The following is a 20,157-nucleotide window of genomic DNA, read 5'->3' on the forward strand; positions in this document are numbered from 1 at the left end:
TTTCATGTCTAATAGTCTGATAACCCCCTCTAGATCAGAAGGAAAGGATGGTAACATTCTTTTCTCTGTGAAGATAAGCACAGTGCTAAATACACAGTAATTACTCAAAAATTCAATAAACATTTATAAAAAGCCTGTTGTGAAACATCTGGAGCAGAGTGCTACTCTTCAGAATCACAGACACGTGACAGTCAAAAGGGGAGCTAGTCCACTCTGTGTAATGAATACGCCATCCCTAGTTTTAAATATTACTTATAGTCCACATATTCAGATGTGAATCCTTATGTTTATAAACTATTCAACAGCTCTCTAATTCACTTGACATTTAACTATGGTTAGTTCATTTGAACTACATCATTCCTAAACTTCCTCCAACTGTAGCTCTACAAGTCTTCCTATTAGCAATGAGGTTCAGGGTCTCATATTTAAGTGACTTGGTAGAGTTGGGAAATGGGAGCGTCCAGACTCCAGTAGATCTGTCCTTGCAACCTCAACCAACCAACTCATATGCCATTCAATAAGCTAAATCCGTTATATCCTGTTTTACCACCACTAACATATCTAACTGCATTCTCCCCAAACAGTCCCAGTCCCACAGAATACAGTTTCAATTTGTATAAATAGATACTAGACAAAATGACAAACTACCAGGTAGCTTAGTATGCATCAATAGTAGTAAACCACTTTTTTGAAAAGCTAAAACGGATGTGATTAAAAAATAATATAATTAAAGTATATGTGACAAAGAGATCCAAAGTACAGTATTTTCATACATATTAGAAATGATAACTGAATTTAGAAAAAATTTACATTATTATTAAAATGTCCTCAGGGACCTCATTTTTGTTTTTCAAGTTAGCAAAACTCAGATAAAGCCATTTCCTTCCTCCAAGGACTGCTAGTCTTCATATTTGTATTGCTTGTATTTTCAAAGCAAAAGTTTGATGTACACCTTTTTGAGAAACTCTAAGGCAAGCTATAAAAACACAATTATATTAATCAAGATAGCTTGGTAGGCAAGTATAGTAAGTATTAAACTCCAAAAAATAAAATGAAGGCATAGAACAAATAATCATGGTCACAAATAAAAACAAATTTTGTTTTGTTTGCTATTTGACTAAGGTGTTTTCACCAGAGAAGAATACTTTAATAAACTACATGATTTTCCTTTTCAAAAACATACGGCGGTTTTCTTAAGTAACTTTTCTAGAATGGTATAGTATAAATTTGGGTACACAGATCCCACAGGTGCACAAAACTATACTTATGTATGGGAAGAAAATGTCAGTTTTGAAAAAAACCTAAATTTACTAATATACAGCTTGACATTTAATTCATATATACTTAAAAAACAGTGGATATGCAAAGTTTGGGCAGTACTGCTCTACAGAATTCTTAGAATACAGCTATCTTAGGAAGTGCTGGAACCAGGGGCATTAGAACATTACAGCTAGAAAGTATCTTTCTAGATGTTTGCTTTTTGAGACAGCGTCTTGCTCTGTGGCCCAGGTTGGAGTGCAGTGGCACCATCATGGCTCACTGCAGCCTCCAACTCCTGTGCTCAAGCAATCCTTCTGCCTCAGCCTTCTGAGTAGCTGAGACTACAAGTGTGTGCCACCACACCCAAATAATTTTTAAATTTTTTTGAAGAGACAGGGCTGGAGCCAAGATGGCCAAATAGGAACAGCTCAGGTCTACAGCTCCCAGCGTGAGCGACGCAGAAGACGAGTGATTTCTGCATTTCCATCTGAGGTACCAGGTTCATCTCACTAGGGAGTGCCAGACAGTGGGCGCAGGACAGCGGGTGCAGTGCACCGTGTGCGAGCCGAAGCAGGGCGAGGCATTGCCTCACTCGGGAAGCGCAAGGGGTCAGGGAGTTCCCTTTCCTAGTCAAAGAAAGGGGTGACAGACGGCACCTGGAAAATCAGGTCACTCCCACCCCAATACTGTGCTTTTCCGACGGGCTTAAAAAACGGCACACCAGGAGATTATATCCCACACCTGGCTCGGAGGGTCCTACGCCCACAGAGTCTCGCTGATTGCTAGCACAGCAGTCTGAGATCAAACTGCAAGGCAGCAGCGAGGCTGGGGGAGGGGCGCCCACCATTGCCCAGGCTTGCTTAGGTAAACAAAGCAGCTGGGAAGCTCGAACTGGGTGGAGCCCACCACAGCTCAAGGAGGCCTGCCTGCCTCTGCAGGCTCCACCTCTGGGGGCAGGGCACAGACAAACAAAAAGACAGCAGAAACCTCTGCAGACTTAAATGTCCCTGTCTGACAGCTTTGAAGAGAGCAGTGGTTCTCCCAGCATGCAGCTGGAGATCTGAGAACGGGCAGACTGCCTCCTCAGGTGGGTCCCTGACCCCCGAGCAGCCTAACTGGGAGGCACCCCCCAGTTGGGGCAGACTGACACCTCACACGGCCGGGTACTCCTCTGAGACAAAACTTCCAGAGGAACAATCAGACAGCAGCATTCGCGGTTCACGAAAATCTGCTGTTCTGCAGCCACCGCTGCTGTTACCCAGGCAAACAGGGTCTGGAGTGGACCTCTAGCAAACTCCAACAGACCTGCAGCTGAGGGTCCTGTCTGTTAGAAGGAAAACTAACAAACAGAAAGGACATCCACACCAAAAACCCATCTGTAAATCACCATCATCAAAGACCAAAAGTAGATAAAACCACAAAGATGGGGAAAAAACAGCAGAAAAACTGGAAACTCTAAAAAGCAGAGCGCCTCTCCTCCTCCAAAGGAACGCAGCTCCTCACCAGCAATGGAACAAAGCTGGACGGAAGAATCAATATCATGAAAATGGCCATACTGCCCAAGGTAATTTATAGATTTAATGCCATCCCCATCAAGCTACCAATGACTTTCTTCACAGAATTGGAAAAAACTACTTTAAAGTTCATATGGAACCAAAAAAGAGCCCACATCGCCAAGTCAATCCTAAGCCAAAAGAACAAAGCTGGAGGCATCACGCTACCTGACTTCAAATTATACTGCAAGGCTACAGTAACCAAAACAGCATGGTACTGGTACCAAAACAGAGATATAGATCAATGGAACAGAACAGAGCCCTCAGAAATAATGCCACATATCTACAACTATCTGATCTTTGACAAACCTGAGAAAAACAAGCAATGGGGAAGGGATTCCCTATTTAATAAATGGTGCTGGGAAAACTGGCTAGCCATATGTAGAAAGCTGAAACTGGATCCCTTCCTTACACCTTATACAAAAATCAATTCAAGATGGATTAAAGACTTAAACGTTAGACCTAAAACCATAAAAACCCTAGAAGAAAACCTAGGCATTACCATTCAGGACATAGGCATGGGCAAGGACTTCATGTCTAAAACACCAAAAGCAATGGCAACAAAAGCCAAAATTGACAAATGGGATCTAATTAAACTAAAGAGCTTCTGCACAGCAAAAGAAACTACCATCAGAGTGAACAGGCAACCTACAGAATGGGAGAAAATTTTCACAACCTACTCATCTGACAAAGGGCTAATATCCAGAATCTACAATGAACTCAAACAAATTTACAAGAAAAAAACAACCCCATCAAAAAGTGGGCAAAGGACATGAACAGACACTTCTCAAAAGAAGAGATTTATGCAGCCAACAGACACATCAAAAAATGCTCACCATCACTGGCCATCAGAGAAATGCAAATCAAAACCAGAATAAGATACCATCTCACACCAGTTAGAATGGCGATCATTAAAAAGTCAGGAAACAACAGGTGCTGGAGAGGATGTGGAGAAATAGGAACACTTTGACACTGTTGGTGGGACTGTAAACTAGTTCAACCATTGTGGAAGTCAGTGTGGCGATTCCTCAGGGATCTAGAACTAGAAATACCATTTGACCCAGCCATCCCATTACTGGATATATACCCAAAGGATTATAAATCATGCTGCTATAAAGACACATGCACACGTATGTTTATTGCGGCACTATTCACAATAGCAAAGACTTGGAACCAACCCAAATGTCCAGCAATGATAGACTGGATTAAGAAAATGTGGCACATATACACCATGGAATACTATGCAGCCATAAAAAATGATGAGTTCATGTCCTTTGTAGGGACATGGATGAAATTGGAAATCATCATTCTCAGTAAACTATCGCAAGAACAAAAAACCAAACACCGCATATTCTCACTCATAGGTGGGAATTGAACAGTGAGAACACATGGACACAGGAAGGGGAACATCACACTCTGGGGACTGTTGTGGGGTGGGGGGAGGGGGGAGGGATAGCTTTAGGAGATATACCTAATGCTAAATGACGAGTTAATGGGTGCAGCACACCAGCATGGCACATGTATACATATGTAAGAAACCTGCATGTTGTGCACATGTACCCTAAAACTTAAAGTATAATAATAAAAAAAAAATCAGTGAAAAATGTCATATAATGGAAAGAAGTCTATCGGTGCTCCAAGCCCCTCTTCTGGGGCAACTATTGTTACCATTTTATTGTCTATTCTTCAGATAGTCCCCTCACATTGAAATATGTAGGTATCTGTGTTTCAACTCTCTCCTTGTACACAATTCTACCATTCTATATACTGTTCTGTATCTTGCTTTAAAATATGTATTTTGGATACTGTTTCATATTTGTACAATGAATACTCAATTCTTTTAACAGCTAAATAGAATTCTACTTTATGGATAAATCTTAATTGATTTTATCAGTCCTCAATTGACAGAATTTTTGGCTGTTTTAATCTATTGCATAAAATAGCAATGATGCATTGAATATTCTTGCATGTGTTCAAGTATATCTATAGAGCTGACGAGGAGTAGAATAGCTGGGTCAAAGGGTGCTTTTACATTTTTGATATTATCAAAGTGCCCTTCGGAGACTGTACCATTTTACAGTCTAACCAACAATGTGTGAAGAGGTCTTTCATTCCTCTTACTCTAACCAATAATGTATAATAAAACTTACAGATCTTTGAAAATCTGATGTTAAAAAGTGGCATACCATTGTTTTAATTTGCATTTCTCTTATGAATAAGGTTAAGCATATTTTAATGTTTTAGAAGCCATTTGTGTTCCCTTTTTATGTGTTCTTTGCCAATTAGTATAATGTTTTTCTTGTGTTATGAAAATCCTTTGTTCTATAGTGATTTGTGATCCCACTCTCCTCCCACCCTATCCAGTTTATTAGTTTATATCTCTTATGGTGGTTTTCTCAGGAATACATTCTAAATGCTATGTCATCAGATTTATCACTCTTATGTCATGGCTTCTCTGTTTCATAAAATGATTAGAAAGCTGAAAGCAGCAGCAGTTAAGTCATCTGAGAAAGTGACTTTATATATCTATATCCTGGATTCTAATGAAAGCTCAGCAATAGTATGTATACAGTGGTACTCTTGAGAGTAGAGTTGGGGGGAAAAATGTAAAGACCTGGGCTCAATTTCTGACAATAATCACAATAATAATGACCCTGGACAAGTAACCTTAACCTCTTGCCTCATTTTCTTCATAAGAAAAAAAAAAGGTACTTTCGCTGCTTATCTTACAGATTTGTTGTGACAATTTAATGAGAGCCAATTAGCATGCTTTAAAAACCATATGGAGCTCTATACAAATACAAAGCCTTAGTTTTGCCGCATGTTTTGGTGAAAAGAGAAAGAAGTGGGAGGAGAAGTGCTTATCATAAGTAAGGCCTCTTCTCTATCAAACTAGGAAACTAATGCAGGTGAGGGTTGAACAAGGGCAAGAGGAATCTGAAATGGTTACGTAGGCATCTAAGCCTATTTTCAATACTTTGGTAATCCCATGGACCCCAAGATAGAGTCCATCTCCACCATCTGAATGGAAGTTTACAGAGTATGTGCATTTGCAAAGTGTGAAAGATGGAAATCTTTTGGGAGTCATAGAAATCCAAATAATTATTTGTGATTTAAATTAATGATTATTGATAAGTCTAATCTTCACAAAAGTAAAATTGTATCTAGCTCTAATAATTTAAACTTGCATTACTGGAGATATGCAATGTTCATTTCTGTCATAGGGACAATAAACTTGAATGTTACCTAGCCGACTCTTACAGGAATCAAATTTTGGTGCAACCAAGACAGGTCTGAAAATATCACTTACAGAACAGTAGCTACGTACCAGGCAGTGTGCTAAAAGCTTGATTTTTTTTTTTTTTTTTTTTTTTAACAATACAACATTCAGTCCTAACAACTATTCACTGAAGCTCACAGAAGTAAAATGACTTACCCAAGCCACATAACTAGTAAATGGAAGTCTCCAGGGCCTATGATCTATCACCTTGTACTGCATACTAACTCTTGGATTGTTCTAATTCTGTCATGATTCTCCATGTTAATACCCATTTTTCTATTCTTCAGAAGGCTTAACATGTGAGATTAGTGGACAAGTGTATGGTTTATAGGTTTCAAACAGAAAGATATGCCTAAGGCTATAGTTGTAACCCCATCCAGGAGAGTTAAATATTTAATGCATGAAGTTTCCTCATGGCATTAACTAAATAAGTAGCAGCTACTCATATCCTTCAATTCCTGAAAGAGGAGAATAATGTTCGGGCATAGACTGACATGTTTTTGAGAGCTAACAGAGTATTCTTTAGGTCAAGAGTTTCAGGGAACACCAAGTTCATCTTTTCAAAGGGAGAAGTCAGCTGTATCACAGATAAACTGGGCTCTGGTACAGGATTTGGACTTGGAATAGTTAATGTACTTGACACTGTCAAATCTGAACTCATCTATTTAACTCCAAATTCTGGATGACAGCTTACTTTCTTCTGGAATGGTGTCTTCTAAATATTACTAGAGTAAAAATTTACTGACTAGCTATTACAGCTCAGCTCTGTCCTGCAAATTGATGTCTCCACAAATCTATCCAAATATCACGATAGGTTTGTTAAGTGCACGAACCTAGATGAGAGAACCTTCATGAAGGTCACTTATCCTTTCTTCTAACCCTCAAGCAGTACTTACTTAACATATTAGGAGTATTTAAAAAAAGTGATGGTATCTATCTTTCAGGGGTTTGCGGCTTGGTAAGGAGGCAGAGTGAGAAAGTATTCATAAATTACCAGAATAAAACAGCAGCATGCAATAAATATAAAGGAGTAACTAAGGACTAAGGGATTACAGAGAAGGGAAAGATTAATCCCAGCAGAGCAGGGAGACAAGGGGAAGAAATATTTGATAACGGTCTTTAGGGATAAGGATGTTGGTAAGCTGGGGCAGAAGGAAGATTTGTAGAGCTCGAGTTCTGATCCTGAGTCCAATCACTGGCCAGCTAAATGCACATTTCTTAATCTTTCTAAGCTTCAGTGAAGATAATGAAAGTCACTACCTTTTATGGGTAATGGGATTGTTAAAAGAATTTATGTAAAGCACTTGGCACAGAGAATAGAATGCACATAAAATGCCTGGCATTTTGACTGGACACATAATAAGGACACAATAAATGTGAGTTAATGTTAGTACTATTAGCAAAACATAAGACAATCAAAGATATCCGTGTTTTCACTGGGGATAAAATATGGCAAATATGTGTATGATTTGTTTCTGCATTGAACCATATTAGGTTATTCCTGTAATTCTCATAATCAGATATAAAGATTAAATTTGTGTAGACAGATAATACAATCGTTTAATTTTGAGTCCCTGGGCTTAAGGGAGATCAAAATATCTAGCCAGGTAAACACAGTTTCTAAGGGTGACCATGAGGTCTAAAATTTGAATAAATCCTTTCTTTTGGTTGGTAAACAGGTAAGTTTAGACTGCAATTGCTTTTTTAAAAAAAAACAAAAACAAAAAACTTAGTTTTTCTCAAAATTTTCCTTTGGTAGGATACTGATGAATTTAAAGGCTTTGGTAGATTAAGTAGAAGATTTTATAGACTTTTTCTCTACTTGCTTGTGATTACTGTATTTGGAGTAGAAGAACATGATGGTTAAGAACCAGACTCTGAAGACCAACAGTCTTGGGTTATAATCTTAGATTTGCAATTTGATACAGCCAATTTTAGGAAAATTATTTATATTAACTTTGTTTTGAATATAAAGGTGACACAAAGATTGGCACTCTGGTGCATAGTGTGTGCTTAATAACTAGTAAGTATTATGACCATTAGAGCAAACTATGGCAGTCAAGAATTCACAAGAAAACATTTAGAATAAAAAAAACAGTTTTCTCCTTAGAAATGGGAGAGCCACCTGAATTTTTAATAGAATGGAAATGAAGGAAATTATAGTCGGATTAAGGGCAGAGAACCAACAATCTTCAGAAACTAATGAACACTGCACTGTTATGCAACTTAGAAATGACCCTTGGCCATGTAAGAACAAAAAAAGACTCCCTGAATTTCTATAATAAGGTATTCAAATACCCAAGAAATATATAAATATGATTCAGCTACATTTATAAAAAGAATAAAAATAGGAAATTTTAGTAATGTGAAATTAAAAACAATTAACAAGTTGTTGATCTAAAACACTGCCAACCAACTGTAAAAGACTGCAAAAACTGACATGGTTTATAACGTTCCGAAACCCTGTTTGCATCTATCTGCCTTCTCAAGAACTTATCAATGATCATAATCCTTTTTTTGATATACTATCAATATCAAATTGATTGCATTAATAGTCCCAACTCTTTACTCATCCTTAAATTTACTTTCTTTGCCCTATAATTTTGCAGTGTCTTCCCATTCTGCCTTACCCACGTGATTTGCTCTGGCCAACAGGATCTTAGCAAATATGATGGAAGCTGAAGCTTGAGAAAAATTGCTTGGGCAAACCTGCTGAGTTAGTGTGAGGGACACATGGAGCAGAGATAAATGTCCCACCTGTCAGTCAGCTAACACCAGGACATATGAGGGAGCCCAGCCAAGATCAGAAGAACATCCTAGCCTATCTGCCAACCACAGACTCATGAATGAAATAAAAACTGCTCATTTATTTAAGCTAATAAATGTTGGGGTAGTTTGTAATATAGCATTATTGTGGCAATAAATAAACCACCTCTTCTCAATTGGATCCTCACCATGATGCTTAAAAAAGTACAAGGTCTCTCATTCTTTAAAAAATAAGACTTTACTCAATCTTTCGTTTTCCTCAAGATAACAGTTTTATAACTAGATTACTTTAAGCAGTTATCTTATACTTGCTATCACGATTTCCTTAGCTCCTCATTCCTTAAACGATTCCAGTATGGCTTCTAGTGCTTTTACTCCATTAAAATAGCACTTAGTAAAGCCATGAATGACACATTGATAATTCCAATGAATTTTAGTTTTTGCCCCCTTGGCAGCATTCAATATTGCTGACCATTTCTTCTGCTATGGACTTGAGTTTCTCCTAAATTCATATGTCGAAGCTCTAACCCTGAAGGTGACTGTATTTGGGGATAGGACCTTTAGGAGGTAATTAAGGTCGTAAGAGTGAAGCTCTAATCTGATGACGCTGGTGTTCCTGTAAGAGGAGGAAGGGGTACCAGAGGGTCCTCTCTGCCATGTGAGGACACAGCAAGAAGGTGGCTATCTGCAAGCTATCTATCAGCTTGCAAACCAAACCTGCTGGACCTTGATCTTGGACCTTCCAGCCTCCAAAACTTTGAGAAAATAATTTTCTGTGGTTTAAGCCATGCCATCTATGTTATTTTGTTGTGGTAGCCCAAGGAGACTAAAGCACCCTCTTTCATGAAACTAATTTCTTTTGGCTTTTGAGACAAAACACACTTTCCTTTTGCCTCTTCCATCCCAAGTCATCCTACTTTACTTGGATAATAAAAGTTCGAATTTCTCAAGGATGAGTCCTAGTCTTTCTTTTCTCCTTTATTCTACACAGTCTCTTTGGGGGTCCTCATCCCTACTCACAGTTTCAGTCATCAATGATAGCCTAGATGTCTCAACTCCATTCATAGGTTATGCATTACTTATTCAGAAAGGATTTCCCAGACAACTCAACCTAAAGTAGCTCCCCCTAGAAACTCCTTTCTATCATCCAATTTCATTAACACAATTTATCACTGCTTTGTTTTCTATGTTTGTTTTTCTCTCTTACTAAAATACAGACTGGTGAGAATAGAGATCCTCGTTGTTCTTGTTCAGCATTTTATCTGCAGTACTCGGCACATAGAAACTGGACAAATATTTGCTGAAAGAAAAAATATGATTTCTGCTTCTGGCCATGATGAAGTAACAGGGTAGCAGGGACCAGATACGTGGCTTACTGCCTGGAGAGTTTTCAGGCTGCATGATACGGAGAGAACCCCAACAGAGCTTGGAAATATTCCTGAGTTGGGGAGACAGTGACTGGAGTTCACGAAGTCCCAGGTGACTAGAATCTGTGGGTTAGAGTATAGGAGAGACATGGGGGTGGGGGGAGAAAGGAGAGAGAAGGAGACAGACAGATCTGCAGAGGATTTTCCTTGGGTTAAAGATAAATACTGATCAGTGGATAAGTATTTCCCAAGTCTGTGAAAAGAATCAATGAAAAGAACCAGGTAATAATTTTCTGGAGGCTATATATAGCTGGATATAATTGACCTTCTGACACATGGAGCATTTGGTAAAGTCCGCAGGTGGGTACTGGATTGCCTCTATAGTGAGGTCAACTTAGCCCTACCACAGGGCTTCTTAACATCAGCTTCACTAACATTTGGGACCAGATAATTGTTTTGGGGGGCTGTGCTAGACACTGTAGAATTTTTAGTAGCATCCCTACATTTGGGACCAGATAATTCTTTGTTTTGGGGGGCTGTGCTAGACATTGTAGAATTTTTAGTAGAATCCCTAGACTTTATCCACTAGATGCCAATAGCACCTTCTAAATGTAAGAGCACAAAATGTCTCTGTATATGCCCAAATATCCTCTGAGACAAAATCATCCCTGGTTGTAAACTACTGTCTGAGATTAAAGGGTGTTCTGGCTCTGGCCAACAATGCTTAAGACATGAAAGAATCAAGATATTTCTCAATAAGTTAACAGTGTCCCAGAACAGAGCCCAAGAACATTTAACATTGCAAAAATCCCAGCTCACAATAATATAAAATTCACAATGTCTGGCATCCCACTGAAAATTACCATGCATGCATGCATGCAAAAAACATATATGATCCATAATAAGGGGAAAAGTCATTAAAGAAATAGATAAATAAATAACACAGATTGTGAAATTGGTACATGAGGATGTTAATGGAGATATTTTAAATACACTTCATAAGTTCAAGAAGTTGAAGAAAGCATGAGCACGACGTGGACAAATATGGTAGATATAAAGAATACTGAATTTGAACTTCCAGAGTTGACATACCACTTACGAAATAAAAAATATCCTAGATGGTATTAATAGCAGATTAAACAATGCCAAAGAAATGATTAGTGAACTTAAAAACACAGAAATAGTAATATGCAGAATTAAAATAAGGAGAGGAAAAAAAAAAACTAAACAAAAGTGAATCGCGTATCAGTGACCTGTGGGATAAATACATGTGATTTATATTCCAGAAGGAGAGGAGAGAGGAGAGGGACAGAAATACATTTAAAGAAATTGGCCAGGTGCAGTGGCTTATGCCTGTAATCCCAGCTCTTTGAGAGGCCGAGGCAGGTGGATCACCTGAGGTCAGGAGTTCGAGACCAGCCTAACGTGGAGAAACCCTGTCTTTACTAAAAAAAAAAAAATACAAAATTAGCCAGGCATGGTGGGGCATGCCTGTAATCCCAGCTACTTGGGAGGCTGAGGCAGGAGAATTGCTTGAACCAGGGAGGTGGAGGTTGCGGTGAGCCAAGATCGCGCCATTGCCCTCCAGCCTAGGCAACAAGAGTGAAACTCCATCTCAAATAATAATAATAATAATAATAATAATAGCTAAAAAATGTCTAAATGTGATTAAAAATATAAACTGACATATTCAAAGAGTTCAACAAACTCCAAGCAGAGAAAACATAAAGGCAACCATGCCAAGCCCTTTCATAATCAAACTGTTGATAACCAGTGATAAAGAGAAAATCTTAAAAGCATCTGGTGGAAAAAAGAACATACAGAGGAGCAAATATAAGAATGCCATACCCATCTTCTGAAACAATACAAGCAAGAAGCAAGTAGAACAATATCTGTAAAGTACAGTCTCTGGCTTAGGATGATTTAACTTAGAGTTTTTCAACTTTACAGTGGTGTGAAAGTGATAGGCATTTAGCAGAAACCATGCTTTGAGTACCCATACAACCATTTTGTTTTTCAATGTCAGTATTCCGTAAGTTACATGAGATAGTCAACATTTTATTGTAAAATAGGCTTTGTGTTTAACGGTTTTGCCTAGCTGTAGGGTAATGTAAATGTTCTGAGAATATTTAGGGTAGGTGAGGCTAGGCTACGATGTTAGATAGGTTAAGTGTATTAAATGAACTTTTGACTTACAGTATTTTCAACTTACAAGGGTTTATTGGGAAGCAGCCCCATCATAAGTTGAGGAGCATCAGTACTAAGAGAAAAATATGGTCAAATCTGATATCCATATTCAGGAAAAATATATTTTTAAAAATGTGATATACAGACTTTTATAGACATACAAAGGCAGAGTGAATTAATCAACAGCAGACGTGCACTACAAGAAATGCTAAAGGAGTTCATTCAGGTAGAAGGAAAGATATGGGATAGAAATCTGGATCTGTCCACAAGAATGAGGAGCACTAGAAATGATAAATTCATGGGGAAAATACTTATTTTCCTATTTTAAAAATCTCTGAATGATAACTGTGTAAAGAAAAAATAGGAACAATGTACTATGAGGTTTATAACATTTACAGAAGTAAAAGCACAAAGACTTGGAGAAGAAATGCAAATGTATGGTTGTAACAACTTCAGTAAAGTTTCAGGATACAAAATCAATGTACAAAAATCTGTAGCATTTCTATACACCAACAACAGTCCAAGCTGAGAACCAAATCAAGAAAGCAATCCCATTCACAATAGCCACAAAAGAATAAAATTTGTAGGAATTTATTCTTCATTCTTAGGTATGGCTAACCGGAGAGGTGAAAGTTCTCTACAAGGAGAATTACAAAACACTGTTCAAAGACATCAGAGATGACACAAACAAATGGGAAAACATTCCATGATTATGGGTAAGAAAAATCAATATTGGGATAGGAAAAATCAATATTGGGCCATATTGCCAAAAGAATTTTAGAGATTCAATGCTATTCCTATCAGACTGCCAATGACATTCATATGGAACCAACAAAGAACGTGAATAGCCAAGGCAATCCTAAATAAAAAGAACAAAGCTGGAGGCATCACATTACCTGACTTCGAACTATACTACGAGGCTACTGTATTAGTCCATTTTCACACTGTTGATAGAGACATACCCGAGACTGGGCAATTTACAAAGGAAAGAGGCTTAATGGAGAACCTACAGTTTCACATGGCTGGGGAAGCCTCACAATCATGGTGAAAGGTGAAAGGCATGTCTCACATGGTGGCAGACAAGAGAGCTTGTGCTGGAAAACTTCCCCTTATAATAACCATCAGATTTTGTGAGACTTACTATCACAAGAAGAGCATGTGAAAGACCTGCCCCCATGATTCAATTACCTCCCACCAGGTCCCTCCCACAACACATGGGAATTCAAGATAAGATTTGAATGGGGACACAGCTAAACCATATCATTTTGCTCCTGGTCCCTCCCAAATCTCATATCCTCACATTTCAAAACCAATCATGCCTTCCCAACAGTCCCCCACAGTCTTATTTCAGCATTAATTCAAAAGTCCACAGTCCAAAGTCTCATCTGAGACAAGGCAAGTCACTTCTGCCTATGAGCCTGTAAAATCAAAAGCAAGTTAGTTACTTCCTAGATACAATGAGGGTAGAGGCATTGAGTAAATACAGCCATTCCAAATTGGAGACATTGGCCAAAACACAGGGGCTAAAGGCCCCATGCAATTCCAAAATCCAGCAGGGCAGTCAAATAAAGCTCTAAGATGATCTCCTTTGACTCCATGTCTCACATCCAGGTCACGTTGATATAATAGGTGGGTTATCATGGTCTTGGGCAGCTCCACCCCTGTAGCTTTGCAGGGTATAGCCCCCCTACCCTGGCTGCTTTCATGGGATGGCTTTGAGTGTCTGAGGCTTTTCCAGGTGTATGGTGCAAGCTTTTGGTGGATCTACCATTCTGGGGTCTGGAGGACGATGGCCCTCTTCTCACAGTTCCGCTAGGCAGTGCCCCAGTAGGGACTCTGTGTGGGGGCTGTGACTCCACATTTCCCTTCTGCACTGCCCTAGCAGAGGTTCTCCATGAGGGCCCTGCCCCTGCAGCAATCTTTTGCCTGGGCATCCAGGCGTTTCCACACATCTTCTGAAATCTAGGCAGAGGTTCCCAATCCTCAATTCTTGACTTCTGTGCACCCACAGGCTCAACAGCATGTGGAAGCCGCCAAGGCACTGGGGCTTCCACCCTCTGAATCAACAGCCTGAGTGAGCCGTACCTCGGCCCCTTTTAGTCACAGCTGGAGTGGCTGGGACACAGGGCACCAGGTCCCTAGACTGCACACAGCACGGGGACCCTGGGCCTGGCTCATGAAATCACTTTCTCCTAGGCCTCTGGGCCTGTGATGGGAGGGGCTGCTGTGAAGACCTCTACCATGCCTTTGAGACATTTTCCCTGTTGGCTTGGAGATTAACGTGTGGCTCCTCATTAGTTATGCAAATTTCTGTAGCCAGCTTGAATTTCTCCTCAGAAAATGGGTCTTTCTTTTCTATCAAATTGTCAGGCTGCAAATTTTCCGAACTTTTATGCTCTGCTTCCTTTATAAAACTAAATGCCTTTAACAGCACCCAAGTTTCCTCTTGAATGCTTTGCTGCTTAGAAATTTCTTCCGCCATATACCCTAAATCATCTTTCTCAAGTTCAAAGTTCCATAAATCTCTAGGGCAGGGGCAAAATGTTGCCAGTCTCTTTGCTAAACATAACAAGAGTCACCTTTGCTCCAGTTTCCAACAAGTTCCTCATCTCCATCTGAGACCACCTCAGCCTTGACCTTATTGTCCCTATTGCTATCAGGCTTTTGGTCAAAGCCATTCAACAAGTCTCTAGGAAGTTCCAGACTTTCCCACATTTTTCTGTCTTCTTCTGAGTGCTCCAAACTGTTCCAACCTCTGCCTGTTACCCAGTTCCAAGGTTGCTTCCAGATTTTCAGGTATCTTTTCAGCAGCACCCCACTCTTGGTACCAATTTACTGTATTATTCCATTTTCATGCTGCTGGTAAAGACATACCTGAGACTGGGCAATTTACAAAGGAAAGAAGCTTAATGGAGAACCCACAGTTTCACATTGCTGGGGAAGCCTCACAATCATGGCAAAAGGTGAAAGGCACATCTCACATATTGGCAGACAAGAGAAGAGAGCTTGTGCAGGAAAACTTCCCCTTATAATAACCATCAGATTTTGTAAGACTTACTCACTATCACAAGAAGAGCATGTGAAAGACCTGCTCCCATGATTCAGTTACCTCCCACCAGGTCCCTCCCACAACACGTGGGAATTCAAGATGAAATTTGAGTGGGGACAAAGCCAAACCATATCAGCTACAGTAACCAAAACAGCATGGTACTAGTACAAAAGCAGACACATAGACCAATGGAACAGAAAAGAAGGCTGAGAAATAAAGCTGCACATCTACAACCATCTGATCCTTGACAAAGCTGACAAAAACAAGCAATAGAAAAAGAAGTCCCTATTCAGTATATGGTGCTGGGATAACTGGCTAGCCATATACAGAAGATTGAAACTGCGCTCCTTCCTTACACCATATACAAAAATCAACTCAAGATGGATTAAGGACTTCAATGTAAAACCTCAAAGTATAAAAACCCTGGAGGATAACCAATGAAATACCATTCTAGACACAGGCCCTGGCAAAGATGTCATGATGAAGATGCCAAAAGCAATTGCAACAAAACCAAAAATTGACACATAGGACCTAATTAAACTAAATTATCAATAGAGTAAACAGACAACTGACAGAATGGGAGAATATTTGCCAACCATGCATCTGGCAAAGGTCTAATATCCAGAGTTTATAAGATGAACTTAATTAATAAGCAAAAACCAACCACATTAAAAAGTGGGCAAAGGGGTCGGGCATGGTGGCTCACACCTGTAATCCCAGCACTTTGGGAGGCTGAGGTGGGTGGATCACCTGAGGTCAGGAGTTCGAGACCAGCCCGGTCAACATGGTGAAAACCCATCTCTACTAAAGATACAATAATTAGCCAAGCATGGTTGTGGGTGCCTGTAATCCCAGCTACTTGGGAGACTGAGGCAGGAGAATCACTTGAACATGGGAGGTGGAGGTGGCAGTGAGCTGAGATTGTGCCACTGCACTCCGGCCTGGGCAACAGAGTGAGACTCTGTCTCAAAAAAACAAAATATGTGAGCAAAGGACATGAACAGACACTTTTCAAAAGAAGACATTCACACAGCATATGAAAAAATGCTCAATATCACTAATCATTAGAGAAATGCAAATCAGAACCACAATGAGATACCATTTCTTATTAGTCAGAATGGCTATTATTAAAAAGCCAAAAAAATAACAGATGCTGGCAAGGTTGTGGAGAAAAGGGAATGCTTATACACTGCTGGTGGGAATGTAAATTAGTTCAGCCATTTTGGAAAGCAATGTGGTGATTTATCAAAGAGCTAAAAATAGAACTACCATTTGATCCAGCAATCCCATTACTGGGTATATACTCAAAGAAATATAAATGATTCTACCAGAAAAGACACATGCACATGTACATTTATCACAGCATTATTCATAATAGCAAAGACATGGACTCAACCTAAATCCCATCAATGGTAGAATAGGTAAAGAAAATATGGTACATATAGACAACGGAATACTATGCAGCCATAAAAAGCAATGCGATCATGTCCTCTGCAGCAACATGGATGGAGCTGGAGCCCATAATCCTAAGCAAACTAATGCAGGAATGGAAAACAAAACATTTATAAGCATTCTCACTTGTAAGTGGAAGTTAAATACTGAGTACACATCGACCAAAGAAGAGAACAACAGAAAGCAGGGCCTACTTGAGGGCAGAGGGTGGGAGGAGGGAGAGGACTGAAAAACTACCTATTGGGTAGTATGCTTATTACCTGGGTGATGAAATAATCTATACAACAAATCCCCGTGCCATGCTGCATATGTACCCCTGAACCAAAAATAAAGACAAAAAAAAATTTTTGGCTACCCATGAAGTACTATATTATTATTTGAAGGTAGAACCCTGATAAGTTAATGATGTATACTATAAACCCTATAGAAGCCACTTTTTTTTTAAAACAGTGTCTCATTCTGTTGCCCAGCCTGGAGTACCATGGAATGATCTTGGCTCACTGCAACCTCCACCTCCCAGACTCAAGTGATCCTCCTGCCCCAGCCTCCCCAGTAGCTGGGGCCACAGGCACGTGCCACTACATCTGGCTGATTTTTGTAGAGACAGAGTTTCACCATGTTGCCCAGGCTGGTCTTGAACTCCAGGGCTCAAGTGACCTTCCACAGTGGTGGGATTACAGGCATGAGCCGCCTCACCTGGCCAGCAACCACTTTTTAAAAAGCAAATCAGGAGATTAAAAAAATAATAAAACACACTGTATTGATCCAAAAGAAGGCTGGAAAAGAGAAAAAAGGGTGGAACAAATAGTAGGTGGGACAAATAGAAAGATGGCTGATTTAAACCCAACCATGTTAATGGTGACATTAAATGTAAGTGGTCTACTGAAAAGGCAGAGATTGTCGCACTGGATACAAAGGCAAGCCTCAATTCTGTGTTGTTTAATAAAAGAGATCATCTTTAAACATGAAGACATAAATAGGTTAAAAATAAAAGTATTGTGAAAAGATACACTATGATAACAGTAGTGAAAAGCAAGCTGGAACAACTCTAGTAGTTATCAGATAAATTAGATTTCAGAGTAAGGAACATTTCCAGGATTAAAGAGGAGGTTAATTTCATAACGATAAAAAAGCCAATTAATAAAAAGTACCTAACAATTCTAAATGCATATGCAACTATTTACAAAGCTTCAAAATACGTGAAGCAAAACCTAACAGATCTGAAAGGATAAAAAGGAAAATACACAATCATAGTCACGGATTTTGATATCCCCCTTTCAAAAATAGAACAAGTAGACTGAAATTCACCAAGATGGAAAAATCTTGAACAGCACTAGCAACCATCTTGCTTAACTGACATTTATAGAACACTTCACTCAACGGCAGTAGAATATACATTATTTTCAAGAACACACAGAACATTTACTTAGATTTGCATAGATTCTCGGCCATATAAAACATCACAAAAAATTCAAAAAGACTGAAATCACAAACAGTATATTAGAATTAAATTAGAAATCAGTACCAGAAATATATCTGAAAAATCCCTAAATATTTGGAAACTAAACAACACATCTCTAGGCAGGGTCTTGCCATGTTGCCCAGGCTGGTCTTGAATTCCTGGGCTCAAGTAATCTTCCTGCCTCAGCCTCCCAAAGTGTTGGAATTACAGGCGTGAGTACTGCGCCCAGCCAACATGTCTCTAAATAATCCATGGGCTAAAGAAAAAATCACAAGAGAAATTAGAAAATATTTTGAATTTAATTAAAATGAAAACACAGCAGAGCAAAATTTGTGATATAGCTGAAGAAGTGTTTAAAGGGAAACTTATAACATTATGTTCATATTAGTAAATAATCTTCCTTCTACCACTATAACACTTACACTCTATTACCAGTGGTTCTCAAAGTGTACTTCCAGGTCCAGAAGCATAAGCATAAGTATCACTTGGGCCCCACCCCATACTCAATCAAACTCTGTAGGTGGATCCGCACAATCATTTTAACAAGACTTGCTGGTGATTCTGATGCACACTAAAGTTTGTGAATCACAATGGTCTAAGTGTGGTTAGGTGTCTTGCCCTACACCCTTCCTTCTTCACAATGCAACCAGGGAGATCTTCTAGAAAGCAAAATCTGATTATGTCATATCTTCCCTGTCCACTTCCAATTTAAATCTCCGCCCTAAGTGCAATGGGGAGCCACTGAAAGTAGACAAACTTCTTGGCATGGCTCATAAGAACTTGTATAGTCTGTTCCTTTGCTTCCTTCTCAATCCTCCCTACATCTGACATCATCTCCTTCTTTCTTGACTAGACACACTGGCCATGACTTACACCTCTAACCTGCCAAGAATCCCACACCTCAGCATTTTTTCCACATCCAAATCCTTCTTCCTACCCTACTGGTTCTCCACCACTTGGCCTAGTTAATTCCTCCTCACCCTTCACAGCTTAGCTTAATGGCCATTTGCTCAGGGAACTCTTCCTTCACTTGGTAAAACCTCCCAAAATTAAATTCCTATAGCACCACATACTGAGAATGTAACAGATTTGTGTATTTACTCAATGTCTGCCTCTCCAAATAAACTTGAACCGTGAGGGTAGGAACCATATCTGGTTTTGCCCCCACTATTTTGCATGTGTCTAACATACTGCCTAGCACGCAGAAGACAAACACTTTTGAATAAATAAAAAGAGTTTATAGGTACAGGCTTTTAAAATCTAGCTTTCTATGTTTGCATAACACAGAAAAAAAGTAGCAAATAAATGCATTTTCCAGGTTGCCTGGAACTGGGAGAAGGAAAAAGAAGCCAAGGTCTGGTTTAAATAAAACAAACACAAACAAGAAAAAAAAAAGTGGCAAGATGAAATCATTCAGACACCTACCCTTGCCTTTTTTGTTTGTAATTAAACTATAGGTGAATTCACTAGGCTTAACGTTACGATAATCACAGAATGCTCAGCTCCATGACAAGAAAACTGTTACTGCCCAGGAAAAACGAGAAGAAAAAATGGTAGTTAGGAGAGCTGAACTAAGAATTTTGAATTCTTAAGAAATAAAGAAGGAAGAAAAAAGGAGAAAGAGAACATTTAGACCTTGAGGCAGGAATTTATCATGGTGTGAGGCATTGAAACCAATCTCCTTCTAGCAGGTGGTAGCAGCTGGTTAAAGAAGAAAAGGGTGACCCTTGAACTTACCTCAGATAGAGAAAGCAGGTCTGGAGGCTGCAGGGAGAGAATAA

The 20,157-nt window shown here is 39.3% G+C and overlaps 1 protein-coding gene across 13 annotated transcripts in view; it reads right to left on the minus strand.

Moving 5' to 3' along the window:
* LCORL (ligand dependent nuclear receptor corepressor like) overlaps positions 1-20,157 on the minus strand; it is a 180,689-nt gene that overhangs the window by 5,699 nt on the left and 154,833 nt on the right. Inside the window, exon 7 of one of the 13 annotated variants that reach the window (NM_001365660.1) lies at positions 20,114-20,140. The exons of the other annotated variants lie outside the window; for them this stretch is intronic. Within the exon in view, the coding sequence (NP_001352589.1) occupies positions 20,114-20,140 (27 nt within the window). The remainder of the gene's footprint in view (positions 1-20,113; positions 20,141-20,157) is intronic. 13 annotated transcript variants of the gene reach the window in all.

The sequence above is a fragment of the Homo sapiens genome, chromosome 4, assembly GCF_000001405.40.
Source record: "Homo sapiens chromosome 4, GRCh38.p14 Primary Assembly".
Lineage (NCBI taxonomy): Eukaryota > Metazoa > Chordata > Mammalia > Primates > Hominidae > Homo > Homo sapiens.